This window comes from Homo sapiens, chromosome 4 (genome assembly GCF_000001405.40).
Source record: "Homo sapiens chromosome 4, GRCh38.p14 Primary Assembly".
In the NCBI taxonomy this organism is placed as follows: domain Eukaryota; kingdom Metazoa; phylum Chordata; class Mammalia; order Primates; family Hominidae; genus Homo; species Homo sapiens.
In genome coordinates, this window is record NC_000004.12 from 53,720,138 (window position 1) to 53,734,864 (window position 14,727).

The following is a 14,727-nucleotide window of genomic DNA, read 5'->3' on the forward strand; positions in this document are numbered from 1 at the left end:
TAGTGCTTTTAGCAATCATGGACGTTCCAAGCCACATCCCTGATGGCCTACGTCTTTCACACTTTAGAAGAGAACTAGGTTAGGGAAGATTCAACAGGTCTGGGAAGTAAAATCCCACCTTACTCTGGTGGCTATGTTTGGAGGGAAGTGAGAGAAAAAGAAGACAGGGGGCTACTGAGGCAGTCCAAGCAAGAAATGATGGTACTTTTGGCCTGGGGGGTTGGCAGGGAGGATGAAAAGAACTCCCTGGATCTGAGAGATTATTGGCATATGAAGTCATTGGGACTTGATGATATAATGGATGAGGTGGTAAAGGTGAAGGAAAGGGAGATTTCAAAGGAACTCTTTGATTGCTGGTTTATGCTAGAGATGAACTATCATCCCCTGAATGACAAAACACTTAAGGAGAACCAGGCTTCAAAGTTAAGGTTTGTTCGGGTTTACTTTGAAGGTCTTTGAGAAATGCAAGTTGAGATGTCAAGTAAAAGATTAGATTTATAGGTTTAGAACTCAGAATAACATTCTGCGCTGAGGACATAAATCTGAAAGCTACCAGAATTATCAGATGTCAAAGCCCTGGATATTGATAACCCTGGTAATAATAATTCCTGAATGTCAAGGGAGAAAGTATTAGAATAGATGAAGAGAAGGGGCTTATGACCAAGTCTTGGGAATCTAACATTTCATAGTCAGGAGGTTGAAATTGAGCCTGCAAAGGAGATAGAAAGGGAAGGTGCAAAGCCCTAGGAGAAACCAGATAAGGATGGTGTATTAGCCCGTTCTCACACTGCTGATAAAGGCATTCCCCGAGACTGGGCAATTTACAAAAGAAAGGTTTATTGGACTTACAGTTCCACGTGGTTGGGGAGACCTCACTATCACGGCAGAAGGTGTCTCACATGGCAGCAGACAAGAGAAGAGAGTTTATGCAGAAAAACTCCCATTTTTCTCGTGAGTCTCATTCACCATCATGAGAACAACCCAGGAAAGACCCACCCCCATGATTCAATCACCTCCCACCAAGTTCCTCCCATGACATGTTGGAATTGTGGGAGTTGTAATTCAAGATGAGATTTGGGTGGGGACACAGCCAAACTATATCAGATGGCATTGGACAGCCAAAGAAGAGAGTATTTCAAGATGGGAGGAGTGGTGTATTGCTGACAGGTTAGTAAAGATGAGAACTGAGCAATATCTGAGATGTGGCATTATGCATGCCTTGAAAGCCTCTGAATGAGCCATTTCTGAAGGCTGCTAGGCCAGGCAGGAGGAAGCCTGCTGTGCATAAGGAGGAGAGGAAAGGGGCAGTGCCCATGGCTATAGTACACCATAGCTGTGGTCAATGCTGGATTAAGGGAGGCAGATGTTAATGTCATTCCTGTGATGTGGCTAAAAAATATTTATTGGATTTAGCAGCCTGGAGGTCATGATGTACTTAGGGAGAGGCACCCATTTGCGAGGACAGCTAGGGTTAGAACCCAGGTGAGAGAGTTGGGGATTGGAAGAGAAGGAAGTAGAAACTGTGCCAATGATATGGTGCTGTAATGAACACTGGCTACACTATCTTTTGCCTCTCTGCCTCCATCTGCACAAGTGCTTAGTGGGAGCCCCAGTCACTACCCCCTCCTTCCTCAGCAAACGGGCTCACATACGATGTCAAAGAAAAGAAACTATGGTGTGTGAAGAAATGCTTCAGCTTTTTTGTGTATCTCAAAGCTAGTGAGTGCCTTGGAATTTTTTAAGAGAGACCACCCCGCCACTGCTCCCTGCACCACCTCACTCTGTGCTGGGTTTCTGCATGTGTGCATGTGTGTGTGTGTGTGTGCATGCACACATGTGCATATGTGTATTTAAATGGTTTTAATGTCAAAACTGAGGTCTCCTGCTGGTTTAAAGTATTTGAAAGAAACTCCTCCTCTGCAGTCCAGGGACATCCCTGTGTGGTTTCTGAGAAGGATGAGGAGTTCAAGAAGTGAAGGCTCTGTCATACATAAAGAGAAAACAATTTCACTGTGCAATCCAGGAGAGACAAAGCAGTGTAGCATGTGGCTTCAGGATTCTGGCCAGCAGAGGTGAGTTAGAGAGACAGCTCTTAACCTTCACATTTATGTGTAACATTAGAGGACAAGGTATTCAGTTAGTGGTGAAAATGCAACGAAAGTAAATGCTGACAACTGCATTTTTTTCCCATCAAAGTCAGTTTAACCTAATTTCCACTGACTAAGTGCCTCATCCTACTTTCAAAATTCCACTGAATTTTAGGCAACTAGATCTTTATAGCAAAAGTTGAAAAAATAGAAATTTTTTTTGTCACCTGGGCTTCAGACAGGCCTTGAAATTTCATTCTGTCTTTCCTCTATAACCAGCAATTGTCCAATAGCAATATAATGCAATCCACAAATTAATTTTAAATTTTCTAGTAGCCATGTTAAAAAATGAAAAAGAAACAAGTAAGATTACTTTAAGAACATATTTTATTTAACCCAATATATCCAAAATGGTACCACGTCAATAGGGAATTAATATAAAAGTTTATTAATGGGCTATTTTACATTCTTCAGTTCATCCTATGTCTTTGAAACCTGGTATATATTTTACACATACGGCACATCCTAATTCAGATTAGGCACATTTCAAGTGCTCAATAGCAGCACGTTGCTAGTGGCTATCAATCATACTGAACATCACAACTCGAAACAATCATAAAAAAATCAGGTACAAAAAGAATCTCATCTAACTGGAAAATAGGGAACTCATATTTACTGAACATCTATTAGGTGACAGCCACTGAGCTCTCATGTCATTTACTCCTCACCGCAATTCTGCCACATAGATACTATTATCTACTTTTTTTTTCTTTTTTCTTTTTGAGACAGGGTCTCACTCTGTTGTCCAGGATGGGGTGCAGTGGCATGATCACAGCTCACAGCAGCCTCAACCTCCCAGGCTTAAGTGATCCTCCCACCTCAGCCTCCCAAGTAGCTGGGACCACAGGCATGCACAACCACTCCTGGCTAATTTTTAAATTTTTTATAGAGCTGGGGCTTTCTTATGTTGCTCAGGCTGGTCTTGAACTGCTGGACTGAAGTGATCCTTCTATCTCAGCCTCCCAAAGTGCTGGGATTACACATGTGAGCCACTGCACCTGGTCTCTATCTTTCTTTTTGAGAGAGAAACTGAGGCTCGGAATGTTTAAATAAATTGTGTTTCACTAAGAAGTGGCAGAAACAGCATTTAAACTCAAGGCCGTGCTTTTCTTAACACATGCTTTTGCTTCCCTTGGCAGTACAATCAGTTAAACCTCCCTGAGTCCTTAATGCATATCATGATGTTCAGTCAAGACGTGCTCACGGTAAGAAGAGCAGCTGTAAGACCACAAAATAGTAAAAGCTTCAAAGAGCAACAAGAAAGAAAAAGGGCCACCCCATCAAACCCCAATTCTTATTAAATAATAGATGTGATAACCAATCTGAAAGTAAATTTCATTGATTGCCTTCCTTGTGTAAATGCGCTTTATGGAGGAAAAAAGAAAGTATGCAACCTTAGGGGTCTGACCGACTTCTCTGCACTCCCTCCTCTGCCCTTCTCATTCTCATCTTGCAGGGAGCCTTCTGTTTCCTGACACCTTCTTTCTGGCTTCACATTTGTGCACCTCTTCTTCTCTCTGGCGGGAAGATTCTCCCTTCTCCTGTCTGAGTGATTACCTCCTTCTCATCCTTCAAAGGCTGGCTCAAACATCGCTTCCTGCTAGAAGTCCTCCCTGACACCCTAGGCAGAGTTGACCATTTTTTCCTTTGTGCTTTAATTGTTCATCTTTCTATCAGAGCAATTATTACACATTTGTTCTGAGGTCTGTTTTCCCACAGGGTGTGAGCTCCCAGAGGCAGGGAGAATGCCTTATTCAATCCCTGTGGAGTAAGTGTCTGACTCTGCTATTAGCTAAGGTCTCCTGGCCCTTAAGCCCTACAGAAGATTGGATCAGATCCTAATTACATTGATTAGGGAAACCTAAAGCACTTCGCAAGGGGTCTCCAAATTCTGGGGGAAGTTCTTATGGTTTATGGTCTTAAGGTTAATTCTATTCTCATGTCCTAACTTTGTCAAAATTTGTTCTCTGTGTCTTAGAGCTACTTCTTTCCACTCAGCTCTGATGTTGGGCCCCCAAGTAACTTCTCTTTGACTCTCCCTTCATCCCAAAAGCAACCATACAAAAAAGCCATTTTACCAAAGACCAGGGGATCCCAGGAAGGGTGATACACCACAAAGCAAATAGCTTAAAATCTGGTACTAGATTTTTCTGAAACCCTGTTGCCCTAATATTACATTCCTACTTCTTGAAAAGTTTCCAGCCTCTTTCTCTCAAATTCTTTTTCTGCCAGCCTCTTTGCTTGCCCCCTCCCTCCTTCCTCCTCCCCACTTCTTTTTTTCTTTTTTTTTCAGGAGCCGATACCCAATATTCCTCTTATTTTCACATGTAAAATGGTACATCTTTTCCTTCCTGCTAGGGCTCCTTCAGATACTGGCATCATGGATCTCCAGCCCAAACACTTAGCAAAGTATTTTCCCAGGCAGTTTCCCTCTTGAGAAAAATCTCAGCCAGCAGTTAAGATAATAATAATATCTCCTTCTATTCAGACCAGAGTCAGCAAACTTTTTCTGTAAAGGGGGAGATAGCAGATAATTTTGGCTTTCTAAGCCATAAGATCTCTGCCACAATGACTCAACTCTAAGTGTGGCCTTAGACTAGTTACTTTACTTCTCACAATCAACCTTTCTTACCTATAAAATGGAGTTAATGCATATTTCACAAAGGAGTTGTGTCTGTTCAGTGGGACAACATCTAAGACAGTCAGTGCAATGCCTGACACACACAAAAATACTGTTTTTCTTTCTTCTTTTTTTCCACTTCACAGAGCAACATATTGTAAAAAATATTGCATTAATCTGGGTTTAACTGTTTTAGTAATTCCTGAACAATAGCAATTGCAATTTAGATGATATTAAAGCAGGCAGACTATCACACATAAAGGATTTAGAGATTCAAGCACATTGCTAAATTTGCCAGTTGTTCTTTTCTTTATAAGTAACATAAAATCAGGGCACACTGACTTTTGAAAAAAGAACATTTAGTTAAGGACAGCCAGAGAGAAAGGTTGGGTTACCCTCAAAGGGAAGCCCATCAGACTAACAGTGGATCTCTCGGCAGAAACTCTACAAGCCAGAAGAGATTGGGGGCCAATATTCAACATTCTTAAAGAAAAGAATTTTCAACCCACAATTTCATATCCAGCCAAACTAAGCTTCATAAGTGAAGGAGAAATAAAATACTTTACAGACAAGCAAATGCCGAGAGATATTGTCACCACCAGGCCTGCCCTAAAAGAGCTCCTGAAGGAAGCACTAAACACGGAAAGGAACAACCAGTACCAGCCACTGCCAAAACATGCCAAATTGTAAAGACCATCAAGGCTAGGAAGAAACTGCATCAACTAACGAGCAAAATAACCAGCTAACATCATAATGACAGGATCAAATTCACACATAACAATATTAACCTTAAATATAAATGGGCTAAATGCTCCAATTAAAAGACACACATTGGCAAATTGGATACAGAGTCAAGACCCATCAGTGTGCTGTATTCAGGAAACCCATCTCACGTGCAGAGACACACTTAGGCTCAAAATAAAGGGATGGAGGAAGATCTACCAAGCAAATGGAAAACAAAAAAAGGCAGGGGTTGCAATCCTAGTCTCAGATAAAACAGACTTTAAACCAACAAAGATCAAAAGAGACAAAGAAGGCCATTACATAATGGTAAAGGGATCAATTCAACAAGAAGAGCTAACTATCCTAAATATATATGCACCCAATACGGGAGCACCCAGATTCATAAAGCAAGTCCTGAGTGACCTACAAAGAGACTTAGACTCCCACACAATAATAATGGGAGACTTTAACACCCCACTGTCAACATTAGACAGATCAACAACACAGAAAGTTAACAAGGATACCCAGGAATTGAGCTCAGCTCTGCACCAAGCAGATCTAATAGACATCTACAGAACTCTCCACCCCAAATCAACAGAATATACATTTTTCTCAGCACCACACCACACCTGTCCCAAAATTGACCACATAGTTGGAAGTAAAGCTCTCCTCGGCAAATGTAAAAGATCAGACATTATAACAAACTGTCTCTCAGACCACGGTGCAATCAAACTAGAACTCAGGATTAAGAAACTCACTCAAAACCGCTCAACTACATGGAAACTGAACAACCTGCTCCTGAATGACTACTGGGTACATAACGAAATGAAGGCAGAAATAAAGATGTTCTTTGAAACCAATGAGAACAAAAACACAACATACCAGAATCTATGGGACACATTCAAAGCAGTGTGTAGAGGGAAATTTATAGCACTAAATGCCCACAACAGAAAGCAGGAAAGATCCAAAATTGACACCCTAACATCACAATTAAAAGAACTAGAAAAGCAAGAGCAAACGCATTCAAAAGCTAGCAGAAGACAAGAAATTACTAAAATCAGAGCAGAACTGAAGGAAATAGAGACACAAAAAACCCTTCAAAAAATTAATGAATTCAGGAGCTGGTTTTTTGAAAGGATCAACAAAATTGATAGACCGCTAGCAAGACTAATAAAGAAGAAAAGAGAGAAGAATCAAATAGACGCAATAAAAAATGATAAAGGGGATATCACCACCGATCCCACAGAAATACAAACTACCATCAGAGAATACTCCAAACACCACTATGCAAATAAACTAGAAAATCTAGAAGAAATGGATAAATTCCTCGACACATACACCTTCCCAAGACTAAACCAGGAAGAAGTTGAATCTCTGAATAGACCAATAACAGGCTCTGAAATTGTGGCAATAATCAATAGCTTACCAACCAAAAAGAGTCCAGGACCGGCTGGATTCACAGCCGAATTCTACCAGAGGTACAAGGAGGAACTGGTACCATTCCTTCTGAAACTATTCCAATCAATAGAAAAAGAGGGAATCCTCCCTAACTCATTTTATGAGGCCAGCAGCATCCTGATACCAAAGCCTGGCAGAGACACAACCAAAAAACAGAATTTTAGACCAATATCCTTGATGAACATTGATGCAAAAATCCTCAATAAAATACTGGCAAACCGAATCCAGCAGCACATCCAAAAGCTTATCCACCATGATGAAGTGGGCTTCATCCCTGGGATGAAAGGCTGGTTCAACATACGCAAATCAATAAATGTAATCCAGCATGTAAACAGAACCAAAGACAAAAACCACATGATTATCTCAATAGATGCAGAAAATGCCTTTGACAAAATTCAACAACCTTCATGCTAAAAACTCTCAATAAATTAGGTATTGATGGGACGTATCTCAAAATAATAAGAGCTATCTATGACAAACCCACAGCCAATATCATACTGAATGGGCAAAAACTGGAAGCATTCCCTTTGAAAACTGGCACAAGACAGGGATGCGCTCTCTCACCACTCCTATTCAACATAGTGTTGGAAGTTCTGGCCAGGGCAATTAGGCAGGAGAAGGAAATAAAGGGTATTCAATTAGGAAAAGAGGAAGTCAAATTGTCCCTGTTTGCAGATGACATGATTGTATATCTAGAAAACCCCATCGTCTCAGCCCAAAATCTCCTTAAGCTGATAAGCGACTTCAGCAAAGTCTCAGGATACAAAATCAATGTGCAAAAATCATAAGCATTCCTATAAACCAATAACAGACAAATAGCCAAATCATGAGTGAACTCCCATTCACAATTGCTTCAAAGAGAATAAAATACCTAGGAATCCATCTTACAAGGGATGTGAAGGACCTCTTCAAGGAGAACTACAAACCACTGCTCAATGAAATAAAAGAAGATACAAACAAATGGAAGAACATTCCATGCTCATGGGTTGGAAGAATGAATATCATGAAAATGGCCATACTGCCCAAGGTAATTTATAGATTCAATGCCATCCCCATCAAGCTACCAATGACTTTCTACACAGAATTGGAAAAAACTACTTTAAAGTTCATATGGAACCAAAAAAGAGCCCCCATCGCCAAGTCAATCCTAAGCCAAAAGAACAAAGCTGGAGGCATCATGCTACCTGACTTCAAACTATACTACAAGGCAACAGTAACCAAAACAGCATGGTACTGGTACCAAAACAGAGATATAGATCAATGGAACAGAACAGAGCCCTCAGAAATAATGCCGCATATCTACAACAATCTGATCTTTGACAAACCTGAGAAAAACAAGCAATGGGGAAAGGATTCCCTATTTAATAAATGGTGCTGGGAAAACTGGCTAGCCATATGTACAAAGCTGAAACTGGATCCCTTCCTTACACCTTATACAAAAATTCATTCAAGATGGATTAAAGACTTACATGTTAGACCTAAAACCATAAAAACCCTGGAAGAAAACCTAGGCATTACCATTCAGGACATAGGCATGGGCAAGGACTTCATGTCTAAAACACCAAAAGCAATGGCAACAAAAGCCAAAATTGACAAATGGGATCTAATTAAACTAAAGAGCTTCTGCACAGCAGAAGAAACTACCATCAGAGTGAACAGGCAACCTACAAAATGGGAGAAAATTTTCACAACCTACTCATCTGACAAAGGGCTAACATCCAGAATCTACAATGAACTCCAACAAATTTACAAGAAAAAAACAAACAACTCCATCAAAAAGTGGACAAAGGATATCAAAAGAAGACATTTATGCAGCCAAAAAACACATGAAAAAATGCTCATCATCACTGGCCATCAGAGAAATGCAAATCAAAACCACAATGAGATACCATCTCACACCAGTTACAATGGTGATCATTAAAAAGTCAGGAAACAACAGGTGCTGGAGAGGATGTGGAGAAATAGGAACACTTTTACACTGTTGATGGGACTGTAAACTAGTTCAACCATTGTGGAAGTCAGTGTGGCGATTCCTTAGGGATCTAGGACTAGAAATACCATTTGACCCAGCCATCCCATTACTGGGTATATACCCAAAGGACTATAAATCATGCTGCTATAAAGACACATGCACATGTATGTTTATTGCAGCACTATTCACAATAGCAAAGACTTGGAACCAACCCAAATGTCCAACAACAATAGACTGGATTAAGAAAATGTGGCACATATATACCATGGAATACTATGCAGCCAGAAAAAAATGATGAGTTCATGTCCTTTGTAGGAACATGGATGAAACTGGAAATCATCATTCTCAGTAAACTATTGCAAGGACAAAAAACCAAACACCGCATGTTCTCACTCATAGGTAGGAATTGAACAATGAGAACACATGGACACAGGAGGGGGATCATCACACTCTGGGGACTGTCGTGGGGTGGGGGGAGTGGGGCGGGATAGCATTAGGAGATAAACCTAATGCTAAATGTCAAGTTAATTGGTGCAGCACACCAGCATGGCACATGTATACATATGTAACTAACCTGCACATTGTGCACATGTACCCTAAAACTTAAAGTATAATAATAATAAAATAAAATAAAATAAAATAAAATAAAATAAAATAAAATAAAATAAAATAAAATAAAGAAAAAAGAACATTTATTGGTTCACATAACTAAAAATTCCTGGGTTAGGTTTTTGTATTTGGTGGGTCCAGGCACTCAACCCATGTCATTGGGAATCTGTGTTCTCTTCATCCTCCTCCCGGCAGGACCTCCTTTGAATGGTTTCCTTTTCAGGTAGATTATCCTCATGCAGTAGAAAATGCCCATGAGCAGCTACAGACTTAGGGCTTAGCACAGGGATCCACAAACTGTAACACTCAGGCCAAATCCCACCAAAGCCTGTTTGTGTACAGCCTGTTAGCTAAGGAAAATATTTACATTTTTAAAGGGTTATAAAAAATGCAAAGAAGACTATGTGACAGAGACAGAGATGTATGGATACCAAGCTGAAAATGATTATTATCTGGCCTTTTCTAGAAAATGTTTACTGACATCGCAGCTCCAGTGCACAAAGAGCTCTTCTTGTCCATTTTTTTTTCTGGCAGAAGACCCAAGATTGCTTTCCTGGGAGCTTCTTATTGCTTCTCTGTGCTGCCTTCTGGAATTTTTCTCATTTCTATATGTCTCAGGCATCAGACAGAACGGGATTAATGGCTTTACTGATTCTCTCTTCAGCTGCCCTTGAATTTTTAATCTTAATTACTATATTGTTTATTCTCAAAGTTCTATTTAGTACAATACGCTTAGTGTTTTCTATGGCTTCTTTGTCTCTCATTATTTTTTTCCTACCTTAATCACTTTAAACGTTCTTATTTTATAGTCCCTAGCCAAAGCTGAGTTTTGGGAGGGTTTATATCTTCTGTTGATAGGCCTGCTGGCATTGGCTCATGTGTTTGGGGTTTTAAAAACTCTTGGATTGTGAATTCATCTTAACATGGCATTTAAACCGTGGGAATCCTGGATCTCCAAGTTTGAGGGCATCTCTCTGGTGCTACTTTTGCCAGGAATTTTAGGAATGTCTAAAAACTGTTTCTACACTAATTTACCACACAGAGGTCTCCAGTGCCATAGAGAGAGTACAACTTTGAACCCCAAAGCTGGTGAATGCAGGCCTGGAGTTTCAAAAATTTTCCCCCACTCAGAGCTCACTCCAAGGAATGCAAGCTTCTCTGTCATTTTCTTTGGTCTTTTAAGGGAGGGAGGCCTTTCCCTGCTTTTCCCCTTTCACTAAGGGTAGCAACTTCATGTGGGATATCAATTTTTCCTTCTGTCCCAGACTAACCATCAAATCCCAAACTCCTTGGTTTGTGAGATCATCAAATACCCCCAGATGGCCCCAACTTCAGTTCGCAGGTTATTCTCTGGTTTTAGTTGCCATTTCATTTTGGCCCCTGGGATTTTATTTTCTTTCTTTTGAGCTCAGTTGGGACATTTAAAGAGAAGCTGGTTCTAGTTTATACTGCTTTTCCAGGTGTTTCATAGCAGGAGGGTTTCATGTAATGCAATCCACCACATTGCCCCAAATGGAAATTCCATTAGGCCTGTGAGACTCCATGTAAGACTATGCCAGCACCATGTGCCACCCATAGAGAGCTTCCTCTACCACTTTTATCACCTAGAGTAGCACGCACCTTAAGAGGTGCTCACAGGATGTGTGTTGGAGATGACCATTTGGGTGAGTTTCCAGGAAAGCACAGCAAAGCCTGCTGATAATGTGTTTTATGTTAAGGTATCCAGTACAATCATATGTATATGGTGTAATGGCTCCTGCGACAACAGCATTGTATGGGGCTTAAGAGTACGTGCTCCAGAATCAGACTATCTAGATTTAAATTTGGTTTCTTCTGCTTCCTAGTTGGGTATCCTTGGGCTAGCCACTTAACTCTTCTTTTCCCAGTATGTGAAATCGGGGTGATGATGGAACCTATCTCAGGGAGTCACGGAAAAGGGTAGATGAGTTAATGTCTGCAAAGGGCCGAGTCTGCGGTGTGGTCTGGTAAATCTTAGCCTTCGTTTGTTTCAGGGAAAGGACCTGGGCTGGAGAATAGACCCATGCACGAGGTTGGGGTGGGGGCACAAAAGCCCATCCAGATAAACCTGCCCCTTTCCAGAAGTGAGAAAGGGAAGGAGGATGAGGAAAAGGCTGAGGTAACTGAAGAGAATACTGACCCAGTCCTCAGGAGGAAAAACAAAAATTAAGATTCTAAGAAAGGTTCTTCGGGCTGGGCACAATGGCTCACACCTGTAATCCTAGTATTTTGGGAGGCCAAGGAGGGAGGATCGCTTAAGCCCAGGAGTTCGAGACCAGCCCTGGCAACATAGAGAGACTCTGTCTCTACAAAATTAAAAAAAGAGCCAGACATTGTTGCGTGCGTCTGTAATCCCAGCTATTCGGGAGGCTGAGGTGGGGGAATCACTTGAGCCTGGTGGGCTGAGGCTGCAGTGAGCCGTGATTGCGACACTGCACTCCAGCCTGGATGACAGGCCAGGCCCTGTCAAAAAAATAAATAAATAAAATAAAATAAAATATAAAAAGGAAGGAAGGAAGGAAGGACAGAAAGAAGGAAGGAAAGAAAGGCTTTTTGAATTATAGAATTCAATGAGGATGACTTAAAGTTTGTGTGTGTTGGTCTAAAAATGAAACCCCACCGAATGGCATTACCGGCTTCCACAAGCACAGAAACGTCACTGTTTATTGTGGAGGCTGTGAGAAGAATGTGCAAAGCACATTGGCCTTCAATGGAGGTGAAGGTGGGACTAGGAGAGAGTCAGGGGTCCTTTAACATGGGTCTCCATGCTCCCCTTATGCTTCCATTATCTGCCTCTTACCTAATTCCTAAGTGGTCAGTATTGAAGTGCCATGCAATTGCCTTAGAAACTTCTGATGCCAGAAAATTCACTCTCAAAAGGAGAATAAAAGATTAATAGAAGTTCCTAAACATTTTCAAGGGAAACTTGAGCTGACACAAAATGCAAAAAGGTCTGCAGAATTTTAACACATTTCTGATACAGGTTAGAATTAGAATTCTTGAAAAGATTTGTTTAAAGTATGTTTAAAACATTTGGCTACGGGAACAGTTATTTGTGCAAACACTATTTCTAAATGGATTGTGTGGCCCCACCAAGCCAGAGTGTGCAGACTAGGAAGTGGTCCTTGGGCTGCTTCCTCCTAAGTGGTTTGAACACTGGGAAATGTGTTTCTCCCTCAACAAGTGCTTATTCAGCAGCTTGAGTGGCAAAGAAAGGTGATAATGGCCAGATATCAGCAACACTCCATTTAGTTTTTTAAATGGTTGACAACATTTCTAGGAGCAGCTATCTGTGAGTGTTGAGTAAGGATTTTGTGGGACTCAGTTAAATTCAGAGAAAAACTTGCTACAAAGTTAATCAGACATTTTCACTGTTAAAAACATTTTTTTTCTGCCGCATGTTTTTGGATACAAATAGAAAACAGTTCACACAAATTATTGTGATCTGTATGGTTCCTATACAAACACACTGAATCTTTTAGTTTTCATTTTTTCTCTTCAGGATGCCAGTGTCTCTACATCGTGACAACTTTGAATGTGACCATTGTATCACCTACTAAGTCCGGCAGAACTAGAAATTATGGCTGAAGTTCCAGAAAGTTCCAGAAAGCACATTTGGCCTTATAATAGATAATTACTAACTGCAAGAGCTGTGCATTTACTAAATGATATGCTCTGCCAAGGAGCGAGTTCCCCATCACAGAGAGCAGCAGAAGCCATCATCAGGAATGCTGCGTGTGGATTTCTGAGTTGAGTATGCGGTTAAAACACAAGACGCTAGGTTTAGTCCAATCTTAAAATTCTACGATTTTAATCTTTTAAAAATAGTGTTTGCATAGTATTTTTAAGTTTTTGATGAACCTCACATACATGATCTCATTGATTCTTTTTTAAAAAATGGAGGTCACTTTTTCTTGGCTTAAACAAATGAAAATAAATATAAACAATATAGACTTCTGAAGAAGGATGGCAGAATAAAGGCAAAATAAAGACTCTCCTCCTCCAACATCTAAAATATGAATAAAAATAATAAAAATCAGCAAAAAAAAAAAAACCCACAAAAAAACAGCAACAGCAAGAACACAAAGAAATGGGAGCAACCTAACGTCATAGACTTCAAAAAGGGGAGGACAAAGGAAGGAAGGAGAGATTTTAGAAAAGTAGTTTCTCTGTGCTCACTTTGGAAGACTTGGATTACCAAAATATTGAAAAATTGAATCAAAAGCTATTAATCTGAAAAGAAACAAATTAGCAGGGCATATTGTTTTCCTTGAATGCTTTAGGTTATAGAACAGGTTAATAACAATATGAATTCAACATAGTGGGTCCCAAAGAGGAAATGATGAAACAAGAGAATGATCTGGAAAAGTGATTTTCTACTGTCCTATAGAAACAAATTAAAGACCAAAACAATATTATTTTTTTTTAATGATACTTTAGTTCTAGGGTACATGTGCACAATGTGCAGGTTTGATACATAGGTATACATGTGCCACGTTGGTTTGCTGCACTCATCAACTCGTCATTTACATTAGGTATTTCTCCTAATGTTATCCCTTCCCCCGTCGCCCAACCCCACGACAGGCCCGGGTGTGTGATGTTCCCCGCCCTGTGTCCAAGTGTTTTCATTCAAAACGACATTATTATAGAACTGATAAATAGATAAAAATCATCAAAAAAAAAAAAGCTGAATAGGCACAACTCAAAATAAGCTTACAGACAGAAAAAAATCCTTAAGATAAAGATAGAAATTGCATGTGAAAAGCACAAAGCAATTTCAGCCTAGTTCTTAAGCCTGGTTGTAGACAATCTGCAAATAGGACAGACAAAATATTCAAAGCTATAAAACAAAAAAAATTGCTCTGACAAATGCAGAAACGAATCTGCAGATTGAAAGAGCACACCATGACCCAAGAAAAACAAATACTAAATGATCAGCACTGAGACATATCCTCATTAACTTATCAAACTTCAAGGACTTTTTTAAAAAGTATTTTGGCATAGGACATAAAAAGTAAAGGAAGCCAGTTAGGGTTGCCTTTGACACTAACAATCAATTTTGCATGCCAAGCTATAATAAAGCACTACCTAGGATTTCCAAGGGAAAGTGTGACTCAAGAGTATTTCACCCATCCAGAATGAGTTTCAGTATAAAAGTCACAGATAAATATTCTGACCCA

General features: G+C 40.1%; 1 long non-coding RNA gene across 1 annotated transcript in view; it reads left to right on the forward strand.

Annotated features, from left to right (window-relative positions):
• The window catches only part of LOC100506444 (uncharacterized), a 38,458-nt gene extending 24,237 nt beyond the window's left edge, over nt 1-14,221 (forward strand). Inside the window, exon 3 of the long non-coding RNA NR_125918.1 lies at nt 13,050-14,221. This is a non-coding gene — a long non-coding RNA (uncharacterized LOC100506444). The remainder of the gene's footprint in view (nt 1-13,049) is intronic.
• The last annotated feature ends 506 nt before the right edge of the window (nt 14,222-14,727 follow it).